The sequence below is a fragment of the Homo sapiens genome, chromosome 12 (genome assembly GCF_000001405.40).
Source record: "Homo sapiens chromosome 12, GRCh38.p14 Primary Assembly".
NCBI classification, from domain to species: Eukaryota; Metazoa; Chordata; class Mammalia; order Primates; family Hominidae; genus Homo; species Homo sapiens.
In genome coordinates, this window is record NC_000012.12 from 40,903,980 (window position 1) to 40,918,440 (window position 14,461).

At 35.5% G+C, this 14,461-nt stretch overlaps 1 protein-coding gene across 11 annotated transcripts in view; it reads left to right on the forward strand.

The window, feature by feature from the left end:
* CNTN1 (contactin 1) overlaps nucleotides 1–14,461 on the forward strand; it is a 379,977-nt gene that overhangs the window by 211,541 nt on the left and 153,975 nt on the right. For 10 of the 11 annotated variants that reach the window (XM_011537926.4, NM_001843.4, XM_024448843.2 and 7 more), the window contains 2 exons: nucleotides 4,378–4,514; nucleotides 6,094–6,126. In XM_011537926.4, the coding sequence (XP_011536228.1) occupies nucleotides 4,454–4,514; nucleotides 6,094–6,126 (94 nt within the window). In that variant the 5' untranslated portion in view covers nucleotides 4,378–4,453. Of the gene's footprint in view, nucleotides 1–4,377; nucleotides 4,515–6,093; nucleotides 6,127–14,461 lie in introns of those variants that run through there. The other variant, NM_175038.2, reaches the window with a different exon arrangement.

A 14,461-nucleotide genomic window follows, 5' to 3' on the forward strand; every position in this document is an offset into this window, starting at 1 on the left:
GCCCCAGTAATAGACATTTTCTTTCCTTCTTTCTTTCTCGTCTCTTCTCTTCTTTTTGAGATGGAGTCTCGCTCTGTCGCCTAGGCTGGAGTGCAGTGGCGCGATCTCGGCTCACTGCAAGCTCCGCCTCCTGGGTTCACGCCATTCTCCTGCCTCAGCCTCCCGAGTAGCTGGGACTACAGGCGCCTGCCACCACGCACAGCTAATTTTTTGTATTTTTAGTAGAGATGGGGTTTCACTGTGTTAGCCAGGATGGTCTCAATCTCCTGACCTCGTGATCCGTCCACCTTGGCCTCCCAAAGTGCTGGATTACAGGCGTGAGCCACCCCGCCCAGCCCTCTTCTCTTTTTCCTTCTCCTTCTTCTTCTTTTTCCTTCCTTCCTTCCTTTCCTTCCTTCCTTCTTTCCTTCCTTCCTTCTTCCCTCCCTCTTTCATTCTTTCTTTTTTTTTCTTTTTTCTTTCTTTCTTTCTCAGAGTTTCACTCTGTCACCCAGGCTGGAGTACAGTGGCATGATCTCCACTCACTACAACCTCCAGCTCCTGGGTTCAAGCAATTCTCCTGCTTCAGCCTCCCAAGTAGCTGGGATTACAGGTGCATGCCACCATGCTCAGCTAATTTTTTGTATTTTTACTAGTGATAGGGTTTCATTATGTTGGCCAGGCTGGTCTCGAACTCCTGACCTTAGGTGATCCACCCACCTCGGCCTCCCAAATTGCTGGGATTACAGGTGTGAGCCACTGGACCCAGACCCTATTCTTATTTTAGGAAATTAAAGTTCATTTTGGATAGGATTATAGTTATGTACATGGTCCATTCATTTCATCATTTATTCAATAACTCCATATCAAGTGACTTCTGTGTGTCAGGCATTAGCGCCACAACAATGAACAAGATATGTATCCCCTGCCCTGGTTGGCTTACAGCCTAATGGAATAATAAATGGTTACTGAATACTTTCAGTCAACATTTTGCATGCACAACTTTATGCAAACCTTGCAATTGTGCTATGAATTAGATATTCTTTCCATATTAAAAGGTGAAGACAATTAGGTTCAGAGGCTGAGTAATTTGCCCAAAGTTGCAAGCTAAAGAATGGTTGAGCCAAAATTCGGCAAGATATGGCTAACTTTCCCTGTACACATTTATGCATTTTGGCACATGTTCCCATATACTGTGGTCATTATTGAGAAGGAACTGTTAAATTACATTCTAGCCCTAGAAAAGTTGTCTGTATTTTATTTTCAATTTACTGAGATATCTTGCTGTATGTGGACACAACTAATCTTTTTTTAGGCCTATCCCACTTCTTTCCAGATTATCTATACAGTTCATGGGTAAATAGACCAAAATATCACTGATGTACTCTATCAAAATGAAAAATAAGAAGCAAACTTTCACAGAAATTGCTCTTAATTCTTCACCTTTATTTATCTGTTTCTTTTTCTCTCTGGTCAGTGCTGCTTTCTTGCCCCTCAATAGCAACACTGCAGTAGCATCTCTTGCTCTTAAATGTGAATATCTGTGGGAAACATTTAGAATTCTCAAATTATAACAGTTTATTATTACACAAATTAAGATTTCACTCTGTCACTCAGGCTGGAGTACAGTTAGGATTACACAAATTAGGATTTGTGTAATAATAATAAAATTAAAAATAAAAATAATAATATGTCATCTAAGTTAATTTTTACAAAGTCAATTGCTTGATTGGCATTAAAGTTTTGGCATTTTTATGTGTTTGCTTTTTCTAACTTTCTCTTCATTAAAATATAACTTGTCTTATTTTGTATGTGTAACTCAATGAGAAAAATTAGAAACTATCAGGACAAAAAAAGTGATCAAATTCACATTTTTGTGACAAAGTTTAGATAGGCATAACCAGTGTGTACACATTTCAAAAATTTTCACTTAAGTCTATATGTAGATAACGATGTCATGCACAATCAAAATAAAAAGCTAAAAATCTTTCCACAGATCATGTAATTGATTTTCCTGTCCTCTAAAAGAATTGTTGGCCGGGTGCAATGGCTCACGCCTGTAATCCCAGCACTTTGGGAGGCCGAGGCGGGCGGATCACGAGGTCAGGAGATCGAGACCATCCTAACACGGTGAAACCCCGTCTCTACTAAAAATACAAAAAATTAGCCGGGCGTGGTGGTGGGTGCCTGTAGTCCCAGCTACTCGGGAGGCTGAGGCAGGAGAATGGCGTGAACCCAGGAGGTGGAGCTTGCAGTGAGCCGAGACTGCACCACTGCACTCCAGACTGGGCGACAGAGAGAGACTACGTCTCAAAAGAAAAAAAAATTGCTTTTCATTCTTCACCTCTATTAAACTGTTTATTTTCCTCTCTGCCCAATTCTGCCTAGGAAAATAAATTAATAAAAATTTAAAATTTCAGGCTTATATATATTAAAAAGGAAAAATATGTTTATCCTGGCCCATATATTACCATGGTCCAGGTAAAAATTTTGTCCAGCCTCTGCCAAATGCTAGGATTCTTGCAAATCAGGGAGTATATGTGTTCTCAAAATCCATTAAAAAATAAATAGACTCCTATATTTTTCTCTGACATAATAGTATGGTGCAAGCAATCAGTAGGATTTTAATGTTGCTGTTTTAAATATGTTCGACTATATTTATACGTTGAACACTACAACATGTGTTTTCCTTTTAAAATTGTTTTTCATGCTTTTTTTTTGTTTTGTTTTTTTTGAGATGGAGTTTCGCTCTTGTTGCCCAGGCTGGAGTGCAGTGGTGTGAAGATCTCGGCTCACTGCAACCTCCACCTCCCAGGTTCAAGTGATTCTCCTGCCTCAGCCTCCTGAGTAGCTGGGATACAGGCATGCGCCACTAAGCCAGGCTAGTTTTATATTTTTAGTAGAGATGGGGGTTTCACCATGTTGGTCAGGCTGGTCTCGAACTCCTGACCTCAGGTGATCTACGAGCTTCAGCCTCCCAAAGGGCTGGGATTACAGGTGTGAGCCACTGTGCCCAGCCCATGCTCTATCTTAATTTATGTTTTCATTCAATTCTATGTCATGAGATTTCAGTTATGCTATTATATATTCTTTTAAAACAATGATTTAATGTCTTTTCAAGATGAAACCCCTATTGTGTCATTATTGATGAGTGCTCTAATGCCCTAGGCCATATCATTCTTAAGGTGATCCAGTAAGCAGTGGTTGAGGCAGGAAGTCACCAAATGACTCAAATCTAAGAATGCAACACTCCTGTATAAGGCCCTGCCTACCGCAGGAAGGCCCATTCCCACCGTGCTGTGTTTACCATGGTTTCAGTGAAAATGATTAACACTTTTTCACGTTTAATAGCATACAGGTCCACACAACTATGTCATTGCACTGGCTTGTTCACATATCTGTGTACTCTTTTTCTGTGAACTTCTTAAGAGCAAGCAAACTGTGCCTTTCTTTTTTGAGTCTTCATAGCTACATGCTTAGTCACAGTGGTGGATTTTACCACGGAGATGATGAAACTTAAGTAGCAGGGCCCTTCACCTGCATGAGGCTATTCCAGGGTCCTGGGTGAAACTTTAGCAGTGTAATCACATGGTCGTACATGATTGCAAAATTTTTAAAAGCAAGATATTTTAATTAGACTGCTACATGGTTTTGTATTTTCGTTTATATTAGTAATTTTATTTTCTTCTTGTCCTGAAAGAAGGCTCTCCAAATGGACAATTTTGGCCCCACAAAACCTTGATTGTCCCCTGTTGACATGCAAGGAACACTTATTTGCTTTTTTCTTGAATAAGTGAAAGAAGTAAAAGGGATGAGGAGGAATGAATATTTTATTAATTAATATATTGTAACATTTAAAATTAGCATGTCTGGCAAAAATTTTCCTTAAGCCACTAACAGAAAATGCTAACATCATCACCCTTGTGTAATGTCTGTGAGTTTACAAGCTCTTATACAAATGTAACTTCAATTGAATCTTTGAACCAGGCCTTCCGTTAAATGTAACCTTCAATTAAAGTGAATGATATCAAAATGTTTACAACTGTGCTATTTGTAGAAAAGACTTATTATACTCAATGGTTACAGAGGAAAAGAAACCTAAACACATGATTGAGTGACACTCATGATTGCATTGTGTCAATACTAGGATGTCAGCTGAAGCCTTCTGATACTGACTCCAGTCTTTGCATTACACGGTGTTTACAAATATATTTAAATAAATGAAAACTTATTCTACAAACGAAAAGCATAAAGTCACATAGGTTAATAATGTTTTCCTCAAATGATGAACATTTCCAATTTCCTTCCCTTTCTTTCTTCTCCTCTCCTCCTCTCCCCTTCCTTCCCCTCTCCTTCCTTCTAATTCTTTCCTTCTTCTTCTTTTCTTTCTTGATGCAGGTGTTTAAAATTATCCAACTGCCATAGAGCTAAATTCTTTTTTGGAAAATTGAACCGAACTTCTACTGAATACAAGATGAAAATGTGGTTGCTGGTCAGTCATCTTGTGATAATATCTATTACTACCTGTTTAGCAGGTAAGAAATATCCTTTGTATATTCTACATATATTATGTCAACATAATTGATATGCGTGTTTATTAAATGTATTGTATGAAGTAAAAATTCTTATTTTCTCGACATCTGGGTCAGATAAGTAGATAAATATGTATCAAGGGTGACCCTATTTCCTTTTTAATTTCAATTAAGATTTCACAAAACATTGTCAATCTTGGGTAATAGTGTGCTGGTGAATGTTTAAAATCTAGATCTCTGGGGAGATCCCTGGAGTGTAGCATTTGTCTATTACTGGGGAGTAAATTATCCTACCATGGCCAGTTTCAACCTGACATCATTTAATGTGGAACTGGAAAGATGTGCAACCGCTCACCAGTCTGTAGTATTTTCACCACCCTGATATAAGTAACCACAATGGCAAAGAGAATATAAAATATAGTAAATAAAAGAGAGAAAACAATGGGTTTTAAGCATTTATTCCCTTTGTTCTTAGTATAATTTATTCATTTGTAAATTAATACAATTTTTAATACTGGCCATGTTTAACAACTGATTCACAAAATTTCTGAAAATTAATAATCACTTCTTAAGAGCTATAAGCAGATGCAACACACTACTGAATCTTACACAACTCTTTTGCCAATTTGATCAATATAATTTAAAAAATGGATTAAAGTAATCTACAGTGTGTGTAGGGACATAAGACTAATAAAACAATTTTGAGAGTACATTCATTTTAGGACAAAGAAATATTATATTTCTGTCTTTCAAAGGCAAGTGTGAAGCATTCAGACCTATTTCCTACAATGAGAAGCACATCATATCTTTATCTGAAAAACTGATATAATTACCCAACTAGTACTTATTGAGCTAGGTCATTTAGTACTTATTGAGCTAGGTCATTATTATGAAAGTATTAGAAAAATTGAATTCTAACAACCAATTTTTCTAATACTTTCATGATAATGACCTAACCCAGTAGATACTTGTTGAGTGACTGTTTTGTTCAAGACATAAATGGTCCTCATCCTTTTGTATATAAATCCCCATTGATCACTTTAATGATTAATCTGACGGGCATCATTATTAAGAACATAAAAAAATATTATTTTATTTTGGGGAATAATTTTTATTATGCTCACTCCAAAACTCAGAAAAGATCATTTCATTAGTACTTAAGGATTTTAATGACATTGATAAATATATATTTTATAACCAGGGTAATTATGCACACACACCCACATACATAGATGTAATTACATGCATAATATATTTACATATATATAATGTAAATATAATAAAGAAAAAATTTGGTAAAGTCATTGTGAAGTCTTATTTTTGTGAATAAAATAAAATAAAAATTATCTTATTATTACTGAAAATTCATACGAATTCTATTGACTGCAAACTTCGGTGCTGCAACTATCAATGTAAAGATAAGAAATAAGTATCTGCACAGATGTGAAGATACTTCAACCTTTATAGTAAAGGGCCACTACTCTCATTCCATTGTCTAGCATCTCAGCTATTTAAGTAATGTTTGAAACCACAATTCAAATAATTGCTTCAGGATCAAAATTGTTTTTTCTTTCATTTTTAGAGTTTACATGGTATAGAAGATATGGTCATGGAGGTAAGTTGACCAAAGAGTAGACCTTGTAAACATCTTTTCTCTATTGAATCATATTTTATCTCTGCTTTAAACTATTAACTCTCTAAACTTTAAGGCAAATGGTTAATGTTAGATCACTATGAAATTTTGTAAGGTGGTCTTTCTGAGATTATAAGCAAACTGTTTGTTGAATGAGTGGATACATCATAAACAAATATCCTATTAGAGGATTGTAGCAAATGGAAAATATTCAATTTGGCTGGCTTTTTTTCCTGCATGCTTTGTAACAATGCTATGCGACTAAATTTGGAAGCAATATTTTAAAATTTGTAAGCCTTGAACTTATTTTTGAAAGCCTCTTGCTTTGTTGCAAGGGAGATAACTAAAGTTAGTGAAATTGGAATCTTAAGATTCAGTTCAATTAAAAGTCCACAGGTATTGCAAAATTTATTGTTTAATAATCCTTCCAGTTTAGAGCCTACTTCAACTACCAAACAGATATTGCAGAAATAAAGTCAGCATGGTATACTGGAAAAAATACAGAGTCTAGAGTAAGACCAGCCTGAATTTGCATTTTCAGCTCAGTACTTACTAGATGATTTTATTATCTTGCATAAATTATATAACTTCTATGAGTCTCAACTTTCCAATATGTAAAAATCACAGAATTGTTGTGAGGACTAAAAAATGAATTGCAATGATAACTTCTAGCATAATGACTGGCAAGTAGGTGCTTAATGAGTGTAGCAACACTAGTAACTTACAAAAGCCATTGCATGATGGTAGGAGAATGAAAAATCATGAAGAATCACTGAACAACCAGTGCTAGAACTTGCATGCCAAATCAAGGTTACCCATTGTATTAGTCTGTTTTCACGCTGTTGATAAAGACATATCCCAGACTGGGAAGAAAAAGAAGTTTAATTGGACATACAGTTCCACTTGGCTGGGGAGGCCTCAGAATTACGGCAGGAGGCGAAAGGCACTTTTTAATTTATTTATTTATTTATTTTTGAGATGGAGTCTCGCTCTGTCACCCAGGCTGGAGTGCAGCGGCGCGATCTCGGCTCACTGCAAGCTCCACCTCCGGGATTCACGCCATTCTCCTGCCTCAGCCTCCCGAGTAGCTGGGACTACAGGCACCCGCAACCACGCCCGGCTAATTTTTTGTATTTTTAGTAGAGACGGGGTTTCACCATATTAGCCAGGATGGTCTCAATCTCCTGACCTCGTGATCCGCCCGCCTTAGCCTCCCAAAGAGCTAGGATTACAGGCGTGAGCCACCGTGCCCGGCCGCAAAAGGCACTTCTTACATGGCCGCAGCAAAAGAAAAATGGGGAAGAAGCAACAGCGGAAACCCCTGATAAACCCATCAGGTCTTGTGAGACTTATTCACTAAGTATTTTTTAAAAATAGCCTATGGCTGCTTTTTCCAATTCCTTGACCCATATTCTCCTTTTAATCTGCTGCAATCAGTGTTTCCCACGAGCACTCAACAAAAACTGCCTCATTCATGTCTCTAATGTCACACATTGTAAGTCCAGTGGTCAACTCTCAGGCTTCCTACTTAACCGGCTGGCAGCAGTGCTGCAGTTCCAGGTATCACACAGAGACATAACAATGTCTTGTAGGCAAATAGAGCATGCTTGTTTTTTTTCTTGTATCTATCTACCTTTAAAAACAAGGAGACCTTTCCCAGAAACCTTACACTACATGTCCAGAGTTGGGTCACACATTCACCAACAAGCCCATCGCTAGCAAGAGTAATGGCATCACTCCCTGTCAACCTTTACGTCTGAGTCATGTGAGGGATAGGTTGATCCTTGAACTAAGCTGAGCTTTGTCATGAAAGTAAAGGGCAGAAGAGGAGCTGATTAGTCAACCAACAATGTCTGCGAATTACTCAGGTGAATTGAAATTGAGAATTTTCTCACAAATGAAAAAGTTATATCCAATATGTCATCCAGCATATATAATAGTTTTTAATGATTATTTTACAGCAACATTAGTAGCTAGTGTTCAAATATATGTATTAAAACAAAAACATTTTAAATTTGAAAAACAAAGTACATAAAAGATTATAACAAAATCATCAAAACCAACTTCACTCAATGTCTTTAAGAATATTTTTCTTCTTAATTTTTTTTTAGATTTTGTGAAAGCAATATTGTATTCTATTGAGATAAGAGAGCAAATATGAATAAGTTGCACATAATCTGTAATGTTTAGATATTTAATTAATAACTAAATCATTTGACAGCAAATATTTTAGATGCTTTTTTCCACTTGTAGTCTGCATTTACTTTACTTTCAGAAAGAAAAAAAAAAACCTGCAGCTATTGTAGGACCAACTTACACCCAGGCTAATCTAAAATGAAAATAAGTATCTTTCATTCCTTTGTAATTCATTGAGAAAAAGTATCTTAAAAATGAAATAAAATAGCAGTATAATATATATTTTGTAAGAATTGGGATATGAAATAATATATAATTTATACTTTGTACATTTAGAGTTATGATATGACTGTATAATATCCAAAGCTAATATTTAAAAAAAAAAACTATCTTCATTGCTTAGCTGTAGGGAGGACAGGTAGAACATTTCATATATCTTTACAGTACTTGCACCAAGATTTCCTGTATATTTTTTCAACTAGACTCACATCAGTCAGTAAGAATTATTTTCAGTACATATTTCTATCTCTAAATATGATTGACATTTTATAGCAGTCAGTGACCTGTCTCTATTTTGATCTATGGTCCCACATAGCCCCATTAATCAAAATAGACTAGAGTTAGACTGAAACAGGCCAAGTTCTGGAAGTAGGCCCACCAGCCCAGTCATGCTATATATTAGGATGTAGTAAGACGTGAGGTAGGTGTCAGAAGATGCCCAGCCAGGTATGTAAAACAGAATCTAGATGCTTCAGAGGTGGGTCACAGGACAAGGAAGTAGTTCCTCTAGAGAGATGTGACAGGCTCCCCTTGGGCAGGTAAAGCCAAGCAAGGAGAATTTAGTTCACTTAACTTTCATACTAACCTGACTATATTCTTTATTCTAATAACTGTATTTCTGCAAGTTTTTGAGGCCAACTCCTTACTTTGTATGTTTAGTTATAAAAAAGTACTGCAATGTTACCTATTACCCATGACCCTAAAAAACTGGGGCACCAGAGTGTTTAAAGGCTAAGCCCATCTTCTGTTATCAGCAGGAAATGGTTGGCAGTGGAGATAGGAAGCTGTAATATGTGGAAGAAGGATGCTTTGTGACAATTTAAATATTATCTCATTTAGAGAGTTTCAAGAGAGCTTACACCACTCCCCACCCAATAATCACTGTAACACTGTAAATGTAAAAATTTCCATTTTAGTCTTTTGAAATTTTGATGCCATTACCTTTTTCTAACAGATTTTTCCTAGGACTCTTCTTACAACATGCTTATGTAAAATTGTGTTTACTAACTAACAGATTGAGGTGACATATAATAGACTGGGAAGTGGAGTTTGTCTCAAAAAGTATATAAAATGAATACAAATATCTCTGAAGTACAAATCATAATTTTACTTTCAATTCCTGGAAGTAAAATAGAATAGCAATATTATAGTGGATACTCTCCACATAGTGGTAGGTGAAGTAATCCCATTTGAGATTATATAAGTGACTAATTATATTAATGGCGAAAGTGAGAATGAAAGAACAGTAGCTTTTGCCTCTCATTTACATTAGTAAATATGACTGCAAATATTCTTACATTATTTATTTCTATCTTAGTCTTTTTGATCACATTTAAGAAATGTACTTATGTCTGTAATAGATTTATGATAATCACATTATCTGGTAGGAAATAAATGTATTTGCATTAAAAGCAGATCAAAATAGTGATATGAAATGTTAAAGCTTCAATTAGCTTGAGAGGTCATCTATAACTTTGTGCTCCTTTTAAGAAGAATCTATCTAGTAAAAAAAAGGAATGTATTAAAAAATAATTTTAGTTTTTAAAAACACAATCTCTATCTGTGGTTTGTTTCTTATGCCTTTTAACCTCATAATACTTCCAAAGCATCAAAATTTGTCATCTAAGTGTTTCCATGGCTGTAGAAAAAAATCAATAGATGACAGTATTTTCTGTAGGCTGAGAACATAATGCTTACATTACTGGATCCTTTGCTGAGCTTTGTATTGAAATATCCCTCAAAATTCTTCTCCCTGCATCTGAGCACCCTAGTTGAGCTAGCGTGGTCGGAAACTAAGGTACAGCCTGCGAGGGAGACATGAGGATCATATTCAAGAGGTTCATGCTGAACCTGGCAATGCAATACAGATGCTTGTTTTGAGTAATGTTTCTTTCAAGGGCCCAAATATGTTCCTAAAATAAAATATATACAGTAATTTCTAAACCGTCAAACAAAATACATTATGTGACTCAGGCTTGAAAAGTTTAGAAAGCAAGAAGAATATAGTTATGAAATAAAATCCTTAATAGAAAAATGAATGTGACGTGAAGTGTGTCCTATTCTGCTTTTTGTTCTAGGAAAGAGCAAAGGGAAATATCTTAACTGCAATATTCTCTCAATGTGAAAAATAATTTCAGTATTTTCTTGGAGATTCGCTTCTTATTTTAATCCTTGAAAGCTTGCATTGTCTGTTCCTATAAAGGTCAAATATAAGTGGGAGTATTGGGAAATATATACATATAATTTGTGAAAAGTATTGTAACTGAGAAGAAAAAGTAGCATAAGGCACCAATGTTATCCAGTTTGGCCTATAAAATTCACTCCAAAATTGTATATCCCCTTTGAGGGTTTGCTCATTCCTTATATATAGGAATAACCCTATATACACACTCAGTATAACTTTATAGGCATGGCCTCATCATTATTAGTATGTGACATTCTATAATTTTCAATGAAAATTTTCCTTGCTAGCACCTTTTTCTTTTTTTAAAAATACATATTATTAAGATAAAAAAGCTACTTAAAACATATTCTCAGTTTTCTGAAAGCTGACCAACTTTTATCTCAAAAGCATAATATACCTTAAATGAAAGGATACATTATCAAAAGAAATACTTAAGACTACTCATTTCATTAAAATATGAAAATCTACTAATCTTTACATAGAAATATGTTCATGTGAATTTGTCTTTATTGTATTTGAAGGCGCCAAGCAGTACTTTCAGTAATCAAAGCAATTCTGAATGACCATAACTCACCTTACTTCAAAGAGATAAAAAAGCTTCTTTTAAGGAAGCAAATGAAATTATAAATTAAATTTAGAATTCTGGACGATGACCCTCCATATAATGACACTTCTAGAAGCCACTTTAGAAGCAGACACTAGACAGGCCAGGGCTGTCTGTTTCTACATTGGAAGTACAATTGTGTAACTGGTCTTTATTAATGTAAGCCTGTACCTCTTTGAGATGAGTTCATATTTTAGGAAGTCATATTTAATCACTACTATATTCCCCATTATTAAATGAGACTGATATTTAGTTTCTAAAAAATCTTTCCAATGTGCTGCTTGTAGAATGCAAGTCAGAGAAGGTTCAAAGGAAAACTCTTAACCCTGAAGACCTGAGATTCTCTTAACGATGTCTTTCACTGAGCAGATCTTTTGATTTTAAGAAAATCCAACTTAATCCTTTTTTTTTCTTTGATAGATCATGCTTTTGGTGTTGTGTCTAAAAACTTACTGAAGTACCCAAAGTCAGATCAAGGACAGCTAACACCTATAGTGTATCAAATTGTTGCTCCCAACATGACCATCTGAAATTTCTATGCTACCACTGTTGTAAGAAGTGGAAACTCAAGATCCAATCCAGTGCAGATTAGTGGCCTTATGTTTAAAGTGTATGCATACTTGCAACACAAATTCATTTCTCCTTAAATCTCCTTACATGTATAGCCTTCTCCATTGGTAATAACATTTACATCATCACTAGGCTTGTCGCATAAATATCGAAGTACTTAGAAGATCTTTATGAACTTTACACTCCCCTAAGCAATATTTATTTTTAGTTTTCTAAATATTTATGAACTTAGACTTAAAATAAATTGTTTTAAAATAATTCACACTAAAGTCATTATTTATCAAGGATTATAGTGGGAATAGAAATTATCTTACCTTCAAGAAGAGAATCTAGATATATTGATTTCTCTACTTGTCTTTTTAAGCATTTTTATATGCATTGAGAAGAAACAACAAGATCTTCAAAATGGCAGGTGAACTAAATTGCTCCAGTCAGAAACCCTGTGCAATTGGGAGAGACTCAAGGAATAGCTTATGAAATTGTCCAACTGAGAAGAAAAATAGCGTATGATTTTTATCAGAGATAAGCACAAGGTCATTTCTTTCAGAAATCAGAAAATCCAGACCTTCCATAAAAAATGAAAGTCTTCAGTAATCAGGATTCAGGATTCATTTCTCATTTTTTCCCTGCTGTGCTGTTACAACCTGAAGAGCCAGAAAATATCAGGCATCTTCAGTAAAAGTATTAGAAGTGAAGCAGAAAACATTATATTCATTTATGGCTTTTACAGCCTCAAGAAGGATATGGAACTAGAGACAACCTACAACACAACTTTCAAAATTATTAGCAGAGAGCATCTCTGTGACTACCTCATATTTGTAATCTTAATAATAATTGTGGTAGGCACATGGAGTCCTTAGGACATATGCTCATGTTCCTTTCTTTTCTGAATGTACGAGCCCTGTAAAACAAATTGCTTGCCTAAGACAATAACTAGAAAAGTTCATGGCAGGAGCTAAGTCTCAGTTCCTCTCATTCTTCTGATTCTGATCCAGCTATTTCCTATCTGAAATAGGATGGTGGTTATGGAATATGTCTGAGGTCTATAAACTATTGAATAAAAGTTTCAGCAAATTTCAACCAAGAATGAGGCAGCTCCCTTTGAAACATTTTGGGTTAACTTTTTTATTAAATAAATTAATTCTTCATACCAGTGGTGGGGGCGGGGGGGGGGGCAGAACTAACTTGAGGATTTTAGTAACCATCTATATGTACAATAAAAATGTACTGAGTGTCCCAAACAACACAGTGCTAACAGCACCAGAGCCAAAGGAGTGAAAACTTGGCTTTTGGTTTTTAGAAGCTTCATGATTAGTTGAATAGCTTATATACATAAGAAACATAAACAAAATTTTGAAGAGATTGGCAAATTCATGAGAGTGTTTTTAAAATTAGCATTTATTCATTGCTGATTATAAGCTAGGTACATTGCCATCTTTCATGAATTGTCTCAAAATAATTCTGATAATAACCTTTTCAGGTAGATTTTATTATCCCCATTTTATAAAGAGTGATATTGAGCTTTGGAGAGATTAAATAATTTGTCCAAAGGCACACTGATAATGTTACTGAAACAAGATTTAAATGACATAATGAAACTATTTGTTCAAAAGGAAGCTCGAACAGCACTCTCATCTTCAAGTTTAGTGTCAGAGAAGACAAAATATTTGTGTGCCATTGTCTTTACCTCTCTCTTAAAAAACAACTGGAGGAGTGAACCATCGCTTAGATTGGGCAGAGACATTCCAGTGACCTGTAAGAATATTCGTTCTTTCTAGCCACACAGATGATTATTAATTCATTTGAGGCATATGGCTTTGCACTGTGCTCTCTAAATGCTGCCGCAGTGGTGGCATGTGAATGATTTTCTTCTCCTCATCCTGCTATGAAGTGTCACTCTTCCCTGCCAGGGAGAATAGACCATGAGGAATAACTGCTTCTCAACACGGCTGTTTGTGATAAATTTTAAACCAGTTGTTCAGATCCAATATCCGTGTAATTTATTGATTGATTGTTCTAGATGGTGCTGAGTGCCAACGCTAGTCACATGTTTAGAAAAAAATCAACAAAAACTGGCTCAGAAAAGAGACTGATTTTCTCAACATCAAGAAGCTCTCCTTTGCATTCAGACTCTTGTTCAAAAATCATTAGGCTCCTTTTGTTTTCCAGACAACCCAGGAGAATGATGTACACAGATGAAAGACGTAGCCACCTGTTCTCAAGCATTTGCAATCTAGCAGAACAGAAAGTTGTACCAAGAATCATAGCAAGTGTATTAAGTACCATAACCTTTATGGGGAGCTACAGGAACTCAAAAGAGGACCAATAAAAGCCAGGAGAGATGAGAGGTTTTGGCTTCCTGTTGGAACTAACTATGGCTAGGTCACCAAAGGATCATGCAAATTTTGATAGGACAAGAAAAGTAGAATGATGATTCTAGGAAAACCGAAAGCATATGCGGAGGCTCAGGGGCATGAAAGCACAGCTTGTTTGGGGAAGTGGAAAGTAGTTAAGTTTGGCAACACATGGTACATTTGGAAAAA